At 40.4% G+C, this 16464-nt stretch overlaps 1 pseudogene across 1 annotated transcript, besides 1 other annotated feature; it reads right to left on the bottom strand.

Annotated features, from left to right (window-relative positions):
• Nucleotides 1-4003: 4003 nt before the first annotated feature.
• Nucleotides 4004-9588, bottom strand: CHIAP2 (chitinase, acidic pseudogene 2; annotated as a pseudogene). Its single transcript, NR_003928.2, has 8 exons — nt 9559-9588; nt 7637-8561; nt 7376-7541; nt 7007-7131; nt 6703-6826; nt 5863-6047; nt 5247-5366; nt 4004-5131 (listed from the first exon to the last, which is right to left on the bottom strand). The product of NR_003928.2 is annotated as a chitinase, acidic pseudogene 2 (transcript).
• Nucleotides 15261-15330: an enhancer, noted in NCBI's record as "active region_1492". NCBI's record gives its function as "activates an Ori minimal core promoter by ATAC-STARR-seq in GM12878 lymphoblastoid cells {active_cell/tissue: GM12878}" and the evidence as "EXISTENCE:reporter gene assay evidence [ECO:0000049][PMID:35858748]".

The following is a 16464-nucleotide window of genomic DNA, read 5'->3' as shown; positions in this document are numbered from 1 at the left end:
ATTCCTATTATGACTTGGGTCATGAGTTCCCCCAAAACTCACTGGATATTTTTTTCCATAGACAAAGATAGGGACCATCATCAATTTTATCATGTTTAACCCTTTATATAGAAGCAGTAATCACATAGACTTTCTAAGACGGAGCTATAGTGGGAGTCTACCCAGAAGTTCGGTTAGTTCAATCAGCCTATTTCAGATTATCTTCTTCACTTGTTATGAGGGAACTAACCTCATAAGTCACATACTTTGTCTTTCCTTCCCTTTGCACCCATTTAACTGGAGCTCATAACACCCTAATAACATGACAACCTGTGCCATCTTGAACTGATCCTATCAGTCATAGGAAGAGGGTCAGAGGATGGAATTTGTTTGATCCTGCTTGGATAAGACCATATATAAATCATTTCACATTCACCAAAGTTTTCAAATTGTAATTTCATTCAAGATGCTGAGTCAAGTTCCCCTCGGTCTGCCTCCTTAGAGCTAATTCTTCCAAGGCCAATAATAACAATCATGGAATGCTAGGCTCGATGATCTTAACTACGCAGTATCACTTTTATCACTCTGTATCTTCAGGAATTTAGTGGACTAGTCCCCATGACTGCCATACGAATCTTTGAAAGCGATGGGATCATCTGAGAAACACTTTTTAAATCCCAAGTCCCTTGGTTCACTTCTAGAAGGCCATGGTAGGTGCCCCTAGTCTGACATCCAGCTCTCTACACCAGTTGTCAAGTGATTCAGGGTGAGTAGCCAAGCAGCATGCACACTGGGCTTTCTGGAATAGTACTTCTGGGTAAAAAGTCAGAGACAGAAGCGATGGCAGATGAGTGATCCTCTGGTGTTTATTTTATTCTCAGGCAGCATACAACAATCTAACATAGCACATATCTAGCTCTGAGAAAGAGGCTCTGGGCTTTGGATGTTGGGACTTTTAAGCTTCTTAACAAAACTCTTCTTTAGTGAGATTAGGATATGGGATCTAATAGCAGTATGATATAGCAGAACCTTGGCTTTCAGTCTTATCTACTACCTTAGCATTCATCTGTTGGGAGAACACTTGGCTTTCTTCTGGTGTAATCCAACCCCGTGATTATGCACAACTGCTTGGTGTAAACTTGGCTGAAGTTCTCATTCACCATGGTCAGCTCTCTGCCAGGATGGATTGCATTAGGACCTAGGCTATAGATTATAGCTGGTTTCCAGAGGCAACAGGCCAACTTTCTTTTCCAGGAGGCCGCCTGCAGGTCTGTTAACTCAGGCAAGTTAAATCTTACCTCTCAACTGTTTTATAGGAGAAATTGACAAAAACCATCATAATCAAGGTATAACCTTGTTAAGTTATTGAACTTCAAGAATAAATCATGAATTCTTCAGGCACTCACAGGAAAAAAATCAAATAACTTTAAAAGTGTGGATTAAAGAAAGGGTAGTGATTATCCACTGTCTTCAAACATCCCTACAACAATATTCAATGCCAGGACACAGTGGAGCAATGCCTACTATCTAAGGCTAAGTTCACCTGGAAGTAGCTCATGTGAGAGTAATTTGGGAGTGGAATGCAAAGAATAAGTAAGAGACAGGGGAGTGAAACAGGGAAGAAGGGAGGGCCAATAAAATCATGCTTTTATCATATTAGCCACTGGTAGAAACAACTAAATGCTCTATCCCTTTGGAACGGTGTTAAAAGTCTTACAAAATGTGCTTCTAGAACATCAGGGGAGGAAAGGTGGAAACATTACGTTTCCCTGATGTTTGTAAGTGACAGTAACCCCTCTGCATGTCTAGATTGTACCTGCTTGAGTGGAAACCTGTATCTCAGAAGCCCTAGGAAGGGTAGCAAGAAGTACACAACACAGATCTGAGGTAAGATTCCATAACGCCATGAAGACCATTAAGGCTTATGCAGAATTGGTGGCTGTAGCTTCAACTGGAATTAAAAGGTAAGGCAGAGATGATTTGAAATAATGTTAAGAAGTTTTGTCTACACCTGAAGAGTTCTGAGGAAAAGAAAGTACAAGCCTATCGTATTATACTCTACCAAGTATAATATTCTTGAAGTATACTTTTCAAGAACCGAGGAGACAGGCAGATATTCTCACGTATAAAAGAACTTAAGGCCTGTGGCAGCCACAGAACTACTTGAAAAAACTGTTCAACTACAAAACATCCAAACCTGAAAAAGTAAATGAAAGAGCCATAGGAAAAACACTAGCTCAATATTCAATGCCAGAATAAAAAGCAGTAATATTTACAAAATTTTGAGTAAAAGAGTGAGCCAATATCTATGTCCAAAAAGTTACCAATCAAGTATAAAGGCAACAGTCAGGCACTTTCATACATGCAAGAAAATGGAAGATACTCCAAGTCCTTCTTGGCAAACAAAAACAAAACAAACAACAAGATAATTAAAGAAATGAATATTGGATAAGCTGTAGTGTAAGTATAGGGGATGAATATTGCATTGATTTAAATATAGGACTTCAGTTCTGTTATAAAACAAAGTGATATTAAAAATTTGGGGCTGGATGTGGTGGCTCATGCCTGTAATCCCAGCACTTTAGGAGGCTGAGGCTAGAGAATTGCTTGAGTCCAGGAGGTCGAGGGTGCACTGAGCCATGTTCGTGCCTTTGTACTCCAGCGTGGGGAACAGAATGAGACCTTGTCCCAAAAATAAAAATTTTTAAGTTAAAAAAATTTTTTGACTCTGTGAAAATAATAATAAAAATAAGAAAGTGAGAGGTATGGAAAGAATGTTAGATTTTTATCTCCCATATCTCTAAATAAGTAAATGTGGGTTTGAAAACATAAATTCAGCTTCTGTTTTCCATAATCTTTTATTCTTAATCCCATTTTTTGCTTCCCTTTAACACATATAAGACAGGTTTTTGTATCCTTACTGTCTTCAATTCTTACCTTTCCATTCTCTCTGAAACCTACTGCACTCAGGCATTTGCCACCAAGATGTTTACCAACCCCACTTCTGTCAAGTTTGTCAATGATCTACAGGTTGTTAAACATAATGGTCAATTCTCAGACTTCATCTGACCTGACCTAAGTAGTATTTGACAAACTTGATCGCTTTCTCCTCCTTAATATGGTTCTTTCCTTGGCTTTCAGGATACTTGACACTTGGTTTTCCTTCTACCTCACTTAGCCCTCCTTTTTTGGTCTTCATTACTTGTTCCTACTCTTCTCTCCAGCCTCCCTCTGAATGCTGAAATGCTCAGGGCTTAGTCCTTGAATGCTTTCCTTTCTCTGTCTCCCTTAATGATCTCATCTAATCTATTGACTTTAAATACCAACTACCTCTAAAAATGTTATGTCCAACTATAAATACCAACTACCTCTAAAAATGTTATGTCCAACTATCTACTCCACATCTCCAATTAGAAACCCAATAACAATCTTAAATTCAACATGTCCAAAGTTGAACTTCTGCTCTTCCTTCATAATCTACTCTACTTTTAGCTTTCTCCATTTCAGTTGATGATAATTTCATATTTGCAATTTCTTAAGCCAAAATGTTGAAATTATCCTTGGCTCCCCTTTTTGTCTCCCACGTTCTACATGCAACCCATAAAGAAACCTGCTGGCTTAACAAATCTTAAGAATACAGCTGAAATTCAATCACCTCTGACCACTTCTACTGCTACTACTTTGTTCTGAGCCTGCACCTCTCCCCTGAATCACTGCAATAGCCTCCTAATTGTGCATTCTCAGCCAAAAGGGCAAATCAATCACTTTAAAATGACATTTGCTTATGGGTCATTGTTATCTGAGTCTTACATTCTTGGGCTCCCCAGCCTTCATCTGAATACATGTTTTGAGAATGAAGGGACCATGTATTTTCCTTTAATCCCCCTGCTTCCGCTACCCAACATCCAGGACTAGCAGTGCATGCTGCAGGCTTGGGTGCTGGTGGAGCAACTGTATATCATTGGGAAATAGGGATCAATTACATCTAAGATCCTACAGTAAAGAAGCAGAAGCGATTGTACAGTAATGCTCAACCTTTTATTGCACAACAACTTCTGAGGCTGGGTGAGGTGATATCTGAAAAATGTTATCACCAGCTGCAGCAGGAGCAGAAGGTATCAAAGACACCACCAGGCTGGCAGTGCTGAGTGAAAGTCTTTCCATTCACACAACTGTAGGAGGCATTCTTGTCAGTGGGGTCAGGGTACAGGCCACTGGCCCTGTCAGCACAGAATCCACTACCTCTGGGGCTGCCCCCAGAGCTCCTGCCAGAGCGGCCCCCAGAGCTACGACTGTGGCTGACACCGCATGTGATGTTTGCCTCGGCAATGGGAGCAATGGGTTGGGCTGGAGCTTTGCAACCTGAGAAGAAAAAAGAAAACAAATCCTGAACCTCCTTGCTTTTAGCCAGTGATACCTGATGTGTGAGAGCTAGTACCTGGATTTTGTTCTTGGCTCCTCCTTCTATGTCTCCACATATTTCAGTCTTCTGATCTGATATATCCTTCCTGCTCCACTCACCCCTTTGCTTACCAACTCCTTCCTCATCCTTCAAGTCACAGTGCATTTTTTCCTCCTTACATCTTACTGATTGAAATTTTTCATTATCATGAACTCACAAGAAGGTTACTTATTCTTTTAGGGGGCACAGTATCACATAATATCTTCTGTATTGTTGTCTAGCTTTGCAGTTTTTGTAAATCCAATTTCTCTCACTAGATTGTAAATTTCCATAGAGTAGATATGGATATTTATGCATTTAGATCACCTGTGGTACCTACAGAGCACTGTATATGTAATAGATGTTCAATAAATTTCTTGTGAAATGAATGAAGGAAGGAAGAAATGGTGAAGAGCCCTGTTTGTTCTTCCCACCATTAATCAATTGTTACCAGATAGGAATGGACAATGTCAGACAATTACTTGTGCAACAGCTCCATGACTTCCAAGGAACCTTTGGAATTTCTCTTAAGTCTGAGGCTTAGTGTCCCTTCTCACTCCCTAACTCACTTGTACTCTGCAGGCCCAGAGCATCCTTCAGGGTGGTGATCAGAGGGAATTTTCCTTGGTTGCAGAAAGTGCCTGTGAAATCATCCAGGTCAATGGCCCAGACCATGGCACCTCCAAAGTTGTTCTTCTTTAGCCAATCTGCCTGTGGTAATTAGAAAGGAAGTCAGTTATGTACAGACACCAAGGCTGAGCTGTGGCTCCAGGGCTATAATGGGAACATGCTCACAGGCAACAACAACCCATAGAACACAGTCTACCTTGATTTGGAAACTCTTGGTGTTATCGTATCCAAGCCACTCATTTCCTTTGTAGGCATAGGGAACATCCTCAGAAGCCTCCCATACTTCAGTAGCTCCATTCTTCAGGAAGGTACAGATCTAACAGAATATAAGGTACAGGTCAAGAGGTAGGCAGTGTCCTTGTGGTGGCAGAGGTAAAAGGACATGGGGAAGGGGAAGTAGAGGAGTGTTGCATAAAAACTCCTTGAAAATGAAGGTCTATTGCTTTACCAGCAAATTTCTTAGTTATTTGGGATTCTGTTTGTTTACTCCTTTTGAGTAATTTATTTTCAATGTGGGGAGAAACTCTTAAATCAAGGAATACCCTGGCAGTCAGAAGTGTCTACAGATTGATATACTCTCACTAATGGTAGCCTACTTTCCTACACTCTCTGTGTTTGGAATCTAGCCTCAAAGGGACCTAGTGAAGGCCCAATTAAAGTGGTGCAACAGGAGGGTTTATCTTGCCTCCCTTCTAGATAGCCACAAACATCCACTTTCAGCTCCAATCCAAGAACTGTTGCATATTGCTCATATTATTAGCTACATGGACCAAGAGAAAGCCACATTTCCTCTAACATTTCTGAGTGTATACCTCATAGTAGGCCCAGAACCCAGACTGCCTGGTATAGGGTCCAGCAGGGCCAGGACCAGTGGTAGGGGCATCAATTCCATGGTTGGAGGGGTTGCTCAGAAGGAAGGAGTGTCCATAGGCTGGGAATCCAACATGAGCTTCTCAGCTGGGGCCCTGTTGTCCTTCCAGTAGTTCATGACATAATCCTGCAATGGCAGTGGGTTAGCTAGAGTTCTCACCCACAGCTGATGGCCTAGTGATTAATTATTAGCTAAACTTTTTTTGATTTGGTTGTGCCCACTGTACAAAGTACTTGCAACATATTTTAGAGCATCACTGACATATATCTGTTAAAGTGATAGGTCTAATTCTCAACTAAATTCTTTTAATAACAAGCAGGCTTTACATATACCCTTTGGATAAAAAAAATATGATAGAAGAGCAGAGATTTTAAAATGATATTCCTGGTATGATTCATTAGTTAATGTCCGAAATTCTATATGATATACATAGGCAAGGGATTAGAACAGTAGAAAATGGGTAAGGCAAAAGGGAAACAGCAAAAGGGGGAAGGTGGAAAAAGCCTTTTATAATTTATTGAAATAGGAGCAGTGGCATATCATTTTCTTTTATTAAAAAACAATGCACTTGTTATTAATCTTCTTTCATATTAGGTAAAATTATCAGTATGGTGTTAATAAATAGGCAAGTTTTTTAGTAAATGAGAATATTTAATTGATTATGGCAGCCTAATTTCTCATTTGAGAAAACCACTAAACTTATGATGCCTTTTGTGCCTGAATCTCTATGTGATTTTCATCATCATCTCTGGTCTGCTCTTGCATCTGTACAGGGACTCACCACATTGAGGTAGGCGTTGCTGCCGGTGTCAGTCGGGTATTTGTAGAGGGGGCTGTTCTCTCCAGTGTAGCCCTCCCAGGAGCCATGGAGGTCATAGGTCATGACATGGATGTAGTCCGGGTACCTGAGGTGGGGTAGAGGATTTAAAATCATTCTGATGGTCATTTCCCATACCTGTGCGGGCACAAGGCACCACTTCCATAGCCTCCTAAACAAGGTCCCTGAATAGCAAGACAGACCAAAGACAAGTCTAGTCTGCCTGAGTGATACCTCCAGGGGTTTGAAGATAAGGCACATCACTCACTGTGACAGTTGGGGGATCTCATAGCCAGACTGGATGTTGGAGATGCCAGCAGCTACTGCAGCAGTGACCATCAGCCTGGGCTTATTAATGTGCTTGGCCTCCTGCTCAAAAGCTTCACGCATTTCCTGTACAGGAGCAGGAGAAAGTCTGTGAATAGTAACTTTAAGTTTACTTTCATGAGGTTCATGACACTGAATTAAATTAACCTCTTCCATCCTTCCATTCATTCCTCAGCATCCTTACTGGAATAGGATTTTCAGGTCCTTCACCCCAAATAAAATTCTAGGAAACTAGGTTTAAGGTCCCAGTGATCTTTCATATGAGATGGGTGTATGCTTTCCAGTGAAAATGATCTGGAACTTAGCTCACCTGCACCAGGACAGTGAAGAGATGCTTGTCCTGAGGAGGGCTCACACGAGAGCCGGGGTACTCCCAGTCAAAGTCCAGCCCGTCAAACTCATACTGGCGCAGGAATTTGATGACTGAGTTGATGAAAGTCTGGTGGTTCTCAGGAGTGGAAACCATGGCAGTGAAACTGAGGGAGACCCAAAGAAGGCAGGGTGAGACCTTGGTGGTCCCAACACCTTAGAGTAAAATCAACCTAGGAAGTCATCACCAAAAAGAACTTACGGAGCAGTGCCAAAGTTCCAGCCACCAATAGCCAAGAGAGTTTTCAGTTGACTATTTCTGAGGGAAAAGAAACAAAGTGTTTTACCAGAACAAATGAAAAGAAAGGGAAGCCATTTCAACATTTAGCTGCAATAGTGAGCAAGAAGCCAGGAAAGTGTCATGCAGCCTCTCATCCTGGTTTATCTTTGTTCTTATCCTTATTTCCTACTTATGAATGTTGGAGTAGGTGACTATGATTGGTATGTTTCAATGTCTCCACAGTTTTTTTTTTAAATATACTTTAAGTTCCAGGGTACATGTGCACAATGTGCAGGTTTGTTACATAGGTATACATGTGCCATGTTGGTTTGCTGTACCCCAATGTCTCCACAGTTCCAATTATTTCCCTAGGAGTGAATCTCCTGACCAAGGAGACTGAATGCTTTATCAATGCCAGCTTTGGATTGCTTCTAAGTGGAAGATTGTTCTCAACTGAGTCCACCAGTAGTTGGACTTATAAGCTTCCCTTGGCAACTGAGCTGGGCTTTAGTTAGCAGCTAGCTTCTGTGAGCCAGCCATTCCCCTTAAAATTAGAGTCATTCTTGCACTTGAAATAATAAGAAAGCTGAATTTACCTGCTTGTTGGCCTGTTTGGAATTTCAGCCTGAAGTCTGCTGTGGAAGATCTTGTTTAAACTGTCCTTAAAGGTTAAAAGATTTGAAACTCAGGTTTTCCGTCATTTACTTGTTTTTCAGGCCATTGAAAGCTTGGTAGAGAGTCATGTCATCCCATTCGATGGTGGTGATCTCGTTGTTCTGCATTCCAGCAAAGGCGTAGATCAAGTGGGTACAGAGGCAGGGGTCGATGTCATCAGGCTTGAAGCACCCCAGGCCTGGCTGGTTCTGGGCCCAGTTGGTGAAGTAACATGTCAGCTGGTAGGCAGAGCCTGTTACCCAGAGAAAGAAGGTGAGAGACAAGCTCCCTAGTGAGTCACAGATTTCTTTAAAAACCACAGATTTCCAAATGATTTCCCTATTTGAAGTCTCAAAGGAAAGGGGAAAAGTCAATGTAAGAACTTTATGTTGCAGCAAACCTATAATTATATAATTTGCAGGCAATAATGAGCAGGCAATTCAGGGCTGAAGATATCTCTTAGAGATAGCTCTGTTCCTCCAAGAGAGAATTAAATAACCTTAGAAACCAGTGCCTTTAGCTGAAATAGAATTTTAAAGCTTAGTGAACTATGATTTAGATGTATTCTAGCTCCCTTATGTGGCAGCTTACGTACCAAGCATTGCTCTGAGAAATTTACTTATATTTACTCATGAATCCTCACCAAAACCCTTTGAGAGAGGTATTATTATTTTCTCATTTTAACCCATTTGGAAACTGAGACACAGAAAGGATGATAGTATAAGCCTATTTAGCCCTTTTGGATATCTCCCTGAGTAATTCCACCCAGGGGGAAATGAGTCTTCCACCAAGAGACAAGGGCCCTGGCTACTGGTTCAGATTCTGCCATGAACTCTCTGTATTACCTAGGTCAGGTCATATGTCTTATCTCTGCCCTGGTTAACTGGTCTGTGAGATGGAGTGGTAATGCCTTTCCTGTACACCTCTCAAAGAAGAGTTGTTTTAAAACTCAGTAAGATGACAGATTTTAAAATGTTTTAAGAGCAGAGGACACTGTGTAGCTGCCTCACCGCATTAGTTTTTATTGTTAGCACGTATTCTTTAAGACTGCCATCTAGTTGGTTTCTGCTTTGGGATTTTTAGGCCAATGGTATCAATCCTTTAAACTTGGTTAGGGAATTTCAAACTCTGTAGAGAGTAGTTAATATTCTTTGTCTGATGTGGAAGGACACAGGGCAGTACTGAGTTTCCAAATTATGAATAAGCAAAAGAGGAACAATATAGTGGTTCATCCCAAGAAATATACCTACCTATTTCAGCTGTCAGCACAAGGAGCAGACCTTAAAGCAACAGAGAGAATAATGAACTGGAGGAATGTGAGTAGAGTAGCCTTTATACATTAGTCACCTCACTTAAGCAGTAGGAAGCTTTTTCTATTTTTCATTCTCTTAAGATCCTCTGTAGATGACCAACCTACTGAGGCTGGCAAAGCCTTTGGATTTGTCCTGGAAACCCACTCCCCTCTATTTCCATTCAAAAGACCATTAAAGTACCATGAGCCTTTGAGGCTTGGTGAAGGGAGGGGGACAGCAGGGCAGTGAGAAACCTATCACCAGGCAATTTGGGGCTGTCCCCCTGTTCAGTACATCCCCATACTTTTGCCGAAAGCAAAAATCTCAGTTGATCTGGTTTAAATTTGAAGGTAAAAGAGTTTTAAAGGGGCAGAAAAACAAGATGGAGAGAGTCATTCAGAGGTACAGAGATGAGACGATCTCTTACCAGTGAGAAGGGTGAGCTTGGCCATGTTGCCTCAGTGGTAGTGTCCCTCATCCAACCTGCCATTTATACCCTCTTTGCCCTCTCTTGTGCCTTATCAGATTCTCCTTTATCAAGATTGCCTCTAAAGTAAGTGTTGATATTGGCAGTGCTCACAAAGCTCAAGCCCATTTAAGAACCCATTATTGACAGGGAAACAATACTATCTTGATTTCGTTTCACAAGAAGAAAAGATTGGGCTCAAGCCCGGGAACCACACTAATAAGCTCCATTATGGAGTAGCTTATATAATTCAAAATGGCTTATGTATAGTGGGCTATATTCTCCATTTGGATAGTGAAGCAACTGATTGGCTATTTCACGCACTCTTTGTCAGATGGAAGCATTGAGTAACTTTGCATTCATTTATTCTTTGCAGTCATTCATTCACTCATTGTAAGAACAAAGTTTCCTCCTTAAGCAAAGTCTATAGAGGGTCATTACCTACTCTGTCTTTTTGACCCCAAATTCATTACCTCTTTTCCTTCTGTTGATTTTTCTACTCCTATTTCTCCTACCCTTTCCCAGCCCTCTACCCCTGAAGTGGCCTTCACTTGGTTCTTCTCTTCTCAGGAAGCTCCTTTCCTTTGTGATACTTCCTCGGATTCAGCCTGCCCCAGGGCCCCCGGTGTAACATACCTGACCACAGACCCTGTGTGGCTGACACTTTCCAGGTGGTTCTTTCCCCTAAGCCAGCACCTCTTCCTGTTGCCCACATTTCCGTGTGTGGTTCCAAAGTTCTCTTGATCACCCAGGCTCTCACCACTATAGTTTTTGTGATTCATACATTTCTTCTACTCTCCAAAACCCATTGGTCACTGAAATCTATAGTCCTCTTCTCTTTGGTCTTAGAGTTCCCCTTCTCCTTGGAATCATCAATTCCATTCCCCGCCACCACTTCTGTCAGAGTTCAGCACTGTGACAGTGCACTGTAGCTCCCTTCTTTTTCTTCTAGATCTTTTCTGTATATGGCTCCAAATCCCTGGAGTTGGGGGGCAGAGTTTAACAGCTCCTTATTGCCTCATAGAGTTCTTTCTCCTTCGCCTGTCATCGACTCTGCAATCTTGCCTCAATTTAACTTTCCGCCTTGCCTTCTGCTAGCCTCTCAATATAAATCTTGCATATTAAGTTATACTGTTCTCCACACTCAAAAATGGTCTCATCTTCACCCTCCTGCTGAGGCCATTCCCTCTGTCTAGAATATAGAATATTGTCCTCCTGTACCCACCTCCCACTCCATTAAAGGCCCACCTCAGTGGCTTTCCCCCATGACCCCTTCCCCAATCATCACACCTGGAAGTGACTACCTTCCTCACCTCTACTTCTCTGGTATTTTGTTTGTACCATTTGGAAAACTCACTACTTCTTTTTATGAACCATTGGTAGGGAAGAAATGTGGAACCAGTGGAAAAAGCCACACATATTGGAGTTCAAATTCTTTCTACCATTGAGGTTCAAATTCTTTCCATTGTTCATTTGGTTTGAGAAATTGGGACAGTTCCTTAATCTCAGTTTCCTAATTTGTAAAATTGGGATACAAATGCCTACTTTGCATGGCAGTTGTAAGCATTAAATGAAATATTTGTAAAGAATCAGGTGCATAATAAACACTCCACAAATAATAATCATTATAGACTATTTGCACATGTGCCTTATCTTCTGTTTAAAAATTCCTTAAGAATACCAGTCCTCCAAAAAAACCCAATACTACTCAAACCCATGTTAATTCCCATGTTGTACCTAAAGTCTATTTCCTATGCAAAATAGGGCTTCTAAATAAACATTCACTGAGCACCAAATAAATTAATTTTAGTAGCAGTAATTGTTGTATTTTACACATGAAAAAGCAGGCTGGCACAAGGGCATCTTTTGGGTAAAAAATCTTCTGATATTTTTAAACCTACATCCTACAGAAGGATGTGTAGACATGCTGCCTACCTTAACGCAAGTGCTAGGAATTGCAAGATGGATTTTAGTTAGGCCTTTTTGCAGTTTGAGAAAGATTGCTGTAAAGCTCATAGCCATAAGACAGAGGCACTGAGGCACTGTGTACGTTAGGAGCACCTGCAGGAAGGTAAGTGGTTTCATTCATCTTGTACTCCAGCTTTCCCAGATCACCACTGTTTTCTCCTGTGCCTCCCTAGTTGTGTTTTAGAATGCTTAAAGCCTTCCTTGTTCTTAAAAGTAAAATAGGCCAGGCGCAGTGGCTCATGCCTATAATCCCAGCACTTTGGGAGGCCGAGGCGGGTGGATCACCTGAGGTCAGGAGTTCAAGACCAGCCTGGCCAACATGGTGAAATCCCGTCTCTACCGAAAATACAAAAATTAGCTGGGTGTGATGGCTCATGCCTGTAGTCCCAACTACTTGGGAGGCTGAGGCATGAGAATCACTTGAACCCAGGAGGCAGAGGTTGCAGTGAGCTGAGATAACGCCACTGCACTCCAGTCTGGGTGACAGAGTGAGACTCGGTCTCAAAAAAAAAAAAAAAAAAAAGTAAAATAGGTGAGCTAGGGAGTGCTAGCAATATAGCATAGGTAGTTCTTTGCTGGTGGCTGTGGGTCCTAGATTCAGTCCTACCTTAGATATGTTTTGGGTTCTCAACCTGTAGTATGGCATCAAGGTCCTGACCCTGAATTTACTCCTGGATCTTAAGGCTTTCAGGTGAGTTCAAGGAAATTCACAATTGTTTGTGCTACTTCACTAATGGAACTGATTTCTTTGAAAGCCTACCAACCTTATTGTGTGGGCTCCTGGAAAGCTCACAGAGGGCTATTAACATTCCTTTATTCTGGAATCAGGCTAAGATTCCAGAGCGGTGCCGCCTATATCTCTGAAGGAACTTGAAGGACTAAATATTACAGCAGTGGCAGAAGCAGATGTGAGGGTGGGAAATACAGCCTTTAACCCAAGTCTGAGGTAATGAATGAGAAAGCATCCTGGACTTGAAAGTCAGGAAATGCCTAGTGTGCACTCTCCCACTAACATGCTGTGGCTTTGGGAAAGTTACTTAAATATACCAGAAATATACCAGTAGTTACATTAAATATAAATGGGCTAAATACTCCATTTATTAGTCAAAGATTACTGATGTGTTTTCTTTTTTAAAAATATTCAAGTAAATGCTACTTTTAAGAAAAATATGACAGTGACACAGCAAGATTAAAATAAAAGGATGGAAAAAGTATGCTATGCAATCACTAACCAAAAGAAAGTAGGTATAGCTATATTGATATCAGACAAAGTAGATTTTAAAACAAGAAGCATTCCTAGAGATAAAGACATTTTATAACAATAAGTGTCAATCTAACAGGGAGATATAAAAACTCTTAATCTCTATGTACTCATGAACATAGCTACAAAATATGGAAAGCAAAAATTGCCAGAACTAAAAGGAGAAAAGACCAGTCTACAATCATAGTAGGAGACTTCTAATACCTCTCACAGTAACAGAACAAAGAAAAAAGTCAGTAAGTGTCTAGACCTGAGCATGTTATTAATATTTGGCCTAATTGACATATATAAACATTACACAAAAATTTACACAATATACACTTTTACACAGTCATATTCTTTTCAAGTGCATATGAAGGAATGATGGGGGAGGGGCTCTTGTTTCTAGAGCACTCTCATCAGTTAAAGCACATATAGAGGAGAAATACTCTAATAAAGAGATAGAGTCTGGCAGATGGTACTCATGGTGTGAACACATGAAAGCTGAGAGTGTTGATTTGCATATGGGAAATCAGGTAGGAGATATTAAAAGAAGGTATCCTTCCAGTAAAAGATGAGTCACAAGCTAGAAGGAAGAAAGAGAAGAGGTGCAATTCCCATCCCCTACAGGGAATCCCCTATAGGGGATCTTATAGTTAGATGGTGTAGTTTGCAGTAAACACCTTGGGAATGCACCTACATCAACCTATTTATTAATTAATGTTTATTCATTTATTTAATAATTACCTACTGAATGCCTATATTGTGTCAGGTACCTTGTGAGTGCTTGGCTATACAAGTAAACAAGACACAGGGCTTACCATCACTGGTGCAGATAGATAAGTAAATAAAAACTTATGACCTAGTGAGTCAAACATTACAAGGCAAGTTAGCCCATAATAACTACTACAGCAAGTGAAAAGGAACCCAGCCTAAGGAGTGGACAGCCAGGCATCTGGATTTTAGGATTCCCAAGGAAATTGTTAGAGGCAGAGGGAGAAAGTCAAGGAGACACTTTTAGAGAAGATTGTTTTTATAATATTTAGCATTTAGCATTGAGATACAGCAAAGATAATGGAGAGACAGGGGAGTGAGGCAAGCCCAGCAAAATGATAATGCAAAAATTCACCACTAAAAAGAATAAAATACTTCTGATATGCTGATGAGATGAAAGAGTGTCTGAGAAAGTAAAAGAAAGTGATGCACAAAAGAGTAGTATGCTTCTGAGTATATAAAATATAAGAAACAGGAAATTTTCTCATATAAAATATAAGAAAATGGATTATTCTAGAAAATGGGATGCAGGACAAGTGTGGACAATTGTAAAAATAGTCACAGTGCTTTTTAGCGCCTTGTATCAGGAGTTGCTTAGCTCACCCCTTGAATCTGGGCTAGCCTTGTTATTTGCTTTGACTAATAGGACACAGCTAGAGTAACATTGTGTGAGTTCTAAACCTAGTTCTGAAGAGGCCATGAGGCTTTTGCTCATACTCTTGGAAAGCTGTTATTGTCATGTGACCAGAGTTAGCCTGAGGGACAATGAGAAACATGTGGCCAGTCACTCCCAATGGCCTCAGCTGACAGCCAGGCAACCCCCAGAAGCAGAGCCCACTAGTTGACTGCCAGCCAACCACAAATGCATGAGTAAGCCCAGCCGCCAAGACCAGAAGTACTTGGCTCATCCCAGCCCAAACTGCTGGCCCACAGAATTGTGAGCTAAATAAATTGTTGCTGTTTTGATTTTACCTTATTTTTAATTTTCTGAAATTATGGTTAAAAAACACAATAAAAATGTACACTCTCAACCATATTTAAGTGTACAGTAGTGTTAGCTATAATCATATTGTTGTGTAACAGATCTCTAGGACTTTTTCTAACAACTAACTCTTTCGGTTTTTGTTTTGCAAAACGGAAACTCCGTACCCATCAAATGACTCCCAATTTTCCTCCACTCCCCAACTCCTGGCAACCACTATTCTACTTTCTGTTTCTATTATACTGACTAGTCTAGATCTCTCATAAAAGTGGAATCATACACTGTTGTCTTTTCATGACTGGCTTATTTCATTCAGGATGATGTCCTCAAGGTTTATCCATATAGTAGCGTGTTAAATTGTTGCCACTTTAAACCATTATATTTTGGGGTAGTTTCTTACACAACAAGGCTTAACTAACACAAAAGGGTGATCTCCAAGGGTCTGATTGATTACGTCTGGGGTGAGGACTTCACCAGTATCTGGTGAAAATACTAGTCTAGCTATTAGTTGAGGGAAAAGCTAGAGAAAAGACTTACAATGCAAGCCTTGAGCCATACAACAGATATATGAAGCAAAGTAAGGCCTATGAGCTTTATCTTCTACTCCAGTTCCCTAAACTCTCCTTCAGAATTGTATTAATGGGGGTTGTGTTTATGATGAAAAGCGTTCTTTGAGTGTGTTGGAGAAATACTGTATATAAGATGCCTCTCTTAGAAAATCATAATTCACATTACATTGAGAGTTCTAAGTCCTCCGTTCTTAACTGGCATATCCCAAATACATTTAATCCATAAAAATTTTTCCCCAAAATCTCAGGTTACCCTGCAGAACACAAGACGAAGGAATATAGTAGGCAGTGCTTTCCAAATTATTAAACTATGAAACCCTTTTGTCATATATAGTATATATATTGATATCTTAGAGTATATAGTTCAAGAAACATTGCAGCTCTGTCCAATAGAAAAATAATGGGAGCCACATATGGAACTCTAAATTTTTTAAAAAGCCACATCTAGAAAAGTAAAAAGAAACAAGTGAAACTAATGTAATAATATATTTTATTTAATCTAGTATACCTAATATATATCATTTCAACATGTGATCAATATAAAAATTACTGAGATAGTTTACTTTTTTCCCCTCTAGAAAATATTCAAAATCTGGCGTGCATTTCCAACTTATAATACATCTTAGTTTGGACTATTCGCATTTCAAGTGCTCAGTAGCCACCTGTGACTAATGACTACCATATTGTACAACATCGCTCTAGAGAGATCAGTAGAAAGCTGAAACCTGCCTTTTATATAAGCGTCCCATAGGTTTGCTTTGATTGATTGCATTTTTTTTAACTTTTAAGTCCCGGGATACATATGCAAGATGTGCAGGTTTGTTACATAGACAAACATGTTTCATAGGGGTTTGTTATACAGATT

Source organism: Homo sapiens, chromosome 1 (assembly GCF_000001405.40).
Source record: "Homo sapiens chromosome 1, GRCh38.p14 Primary Assembly".
Taxonomy (NCBI): domain Eukaryota; kingdom Metazoa; phylum Chordata; class Mammalia; order Primates; family Hominidae; genus Homo; species Homo sapiens.
Note: the sequence above shows the minus strand (reverse complement) of the source record. Positions and strands in the feature narration are given on the sequence as shown.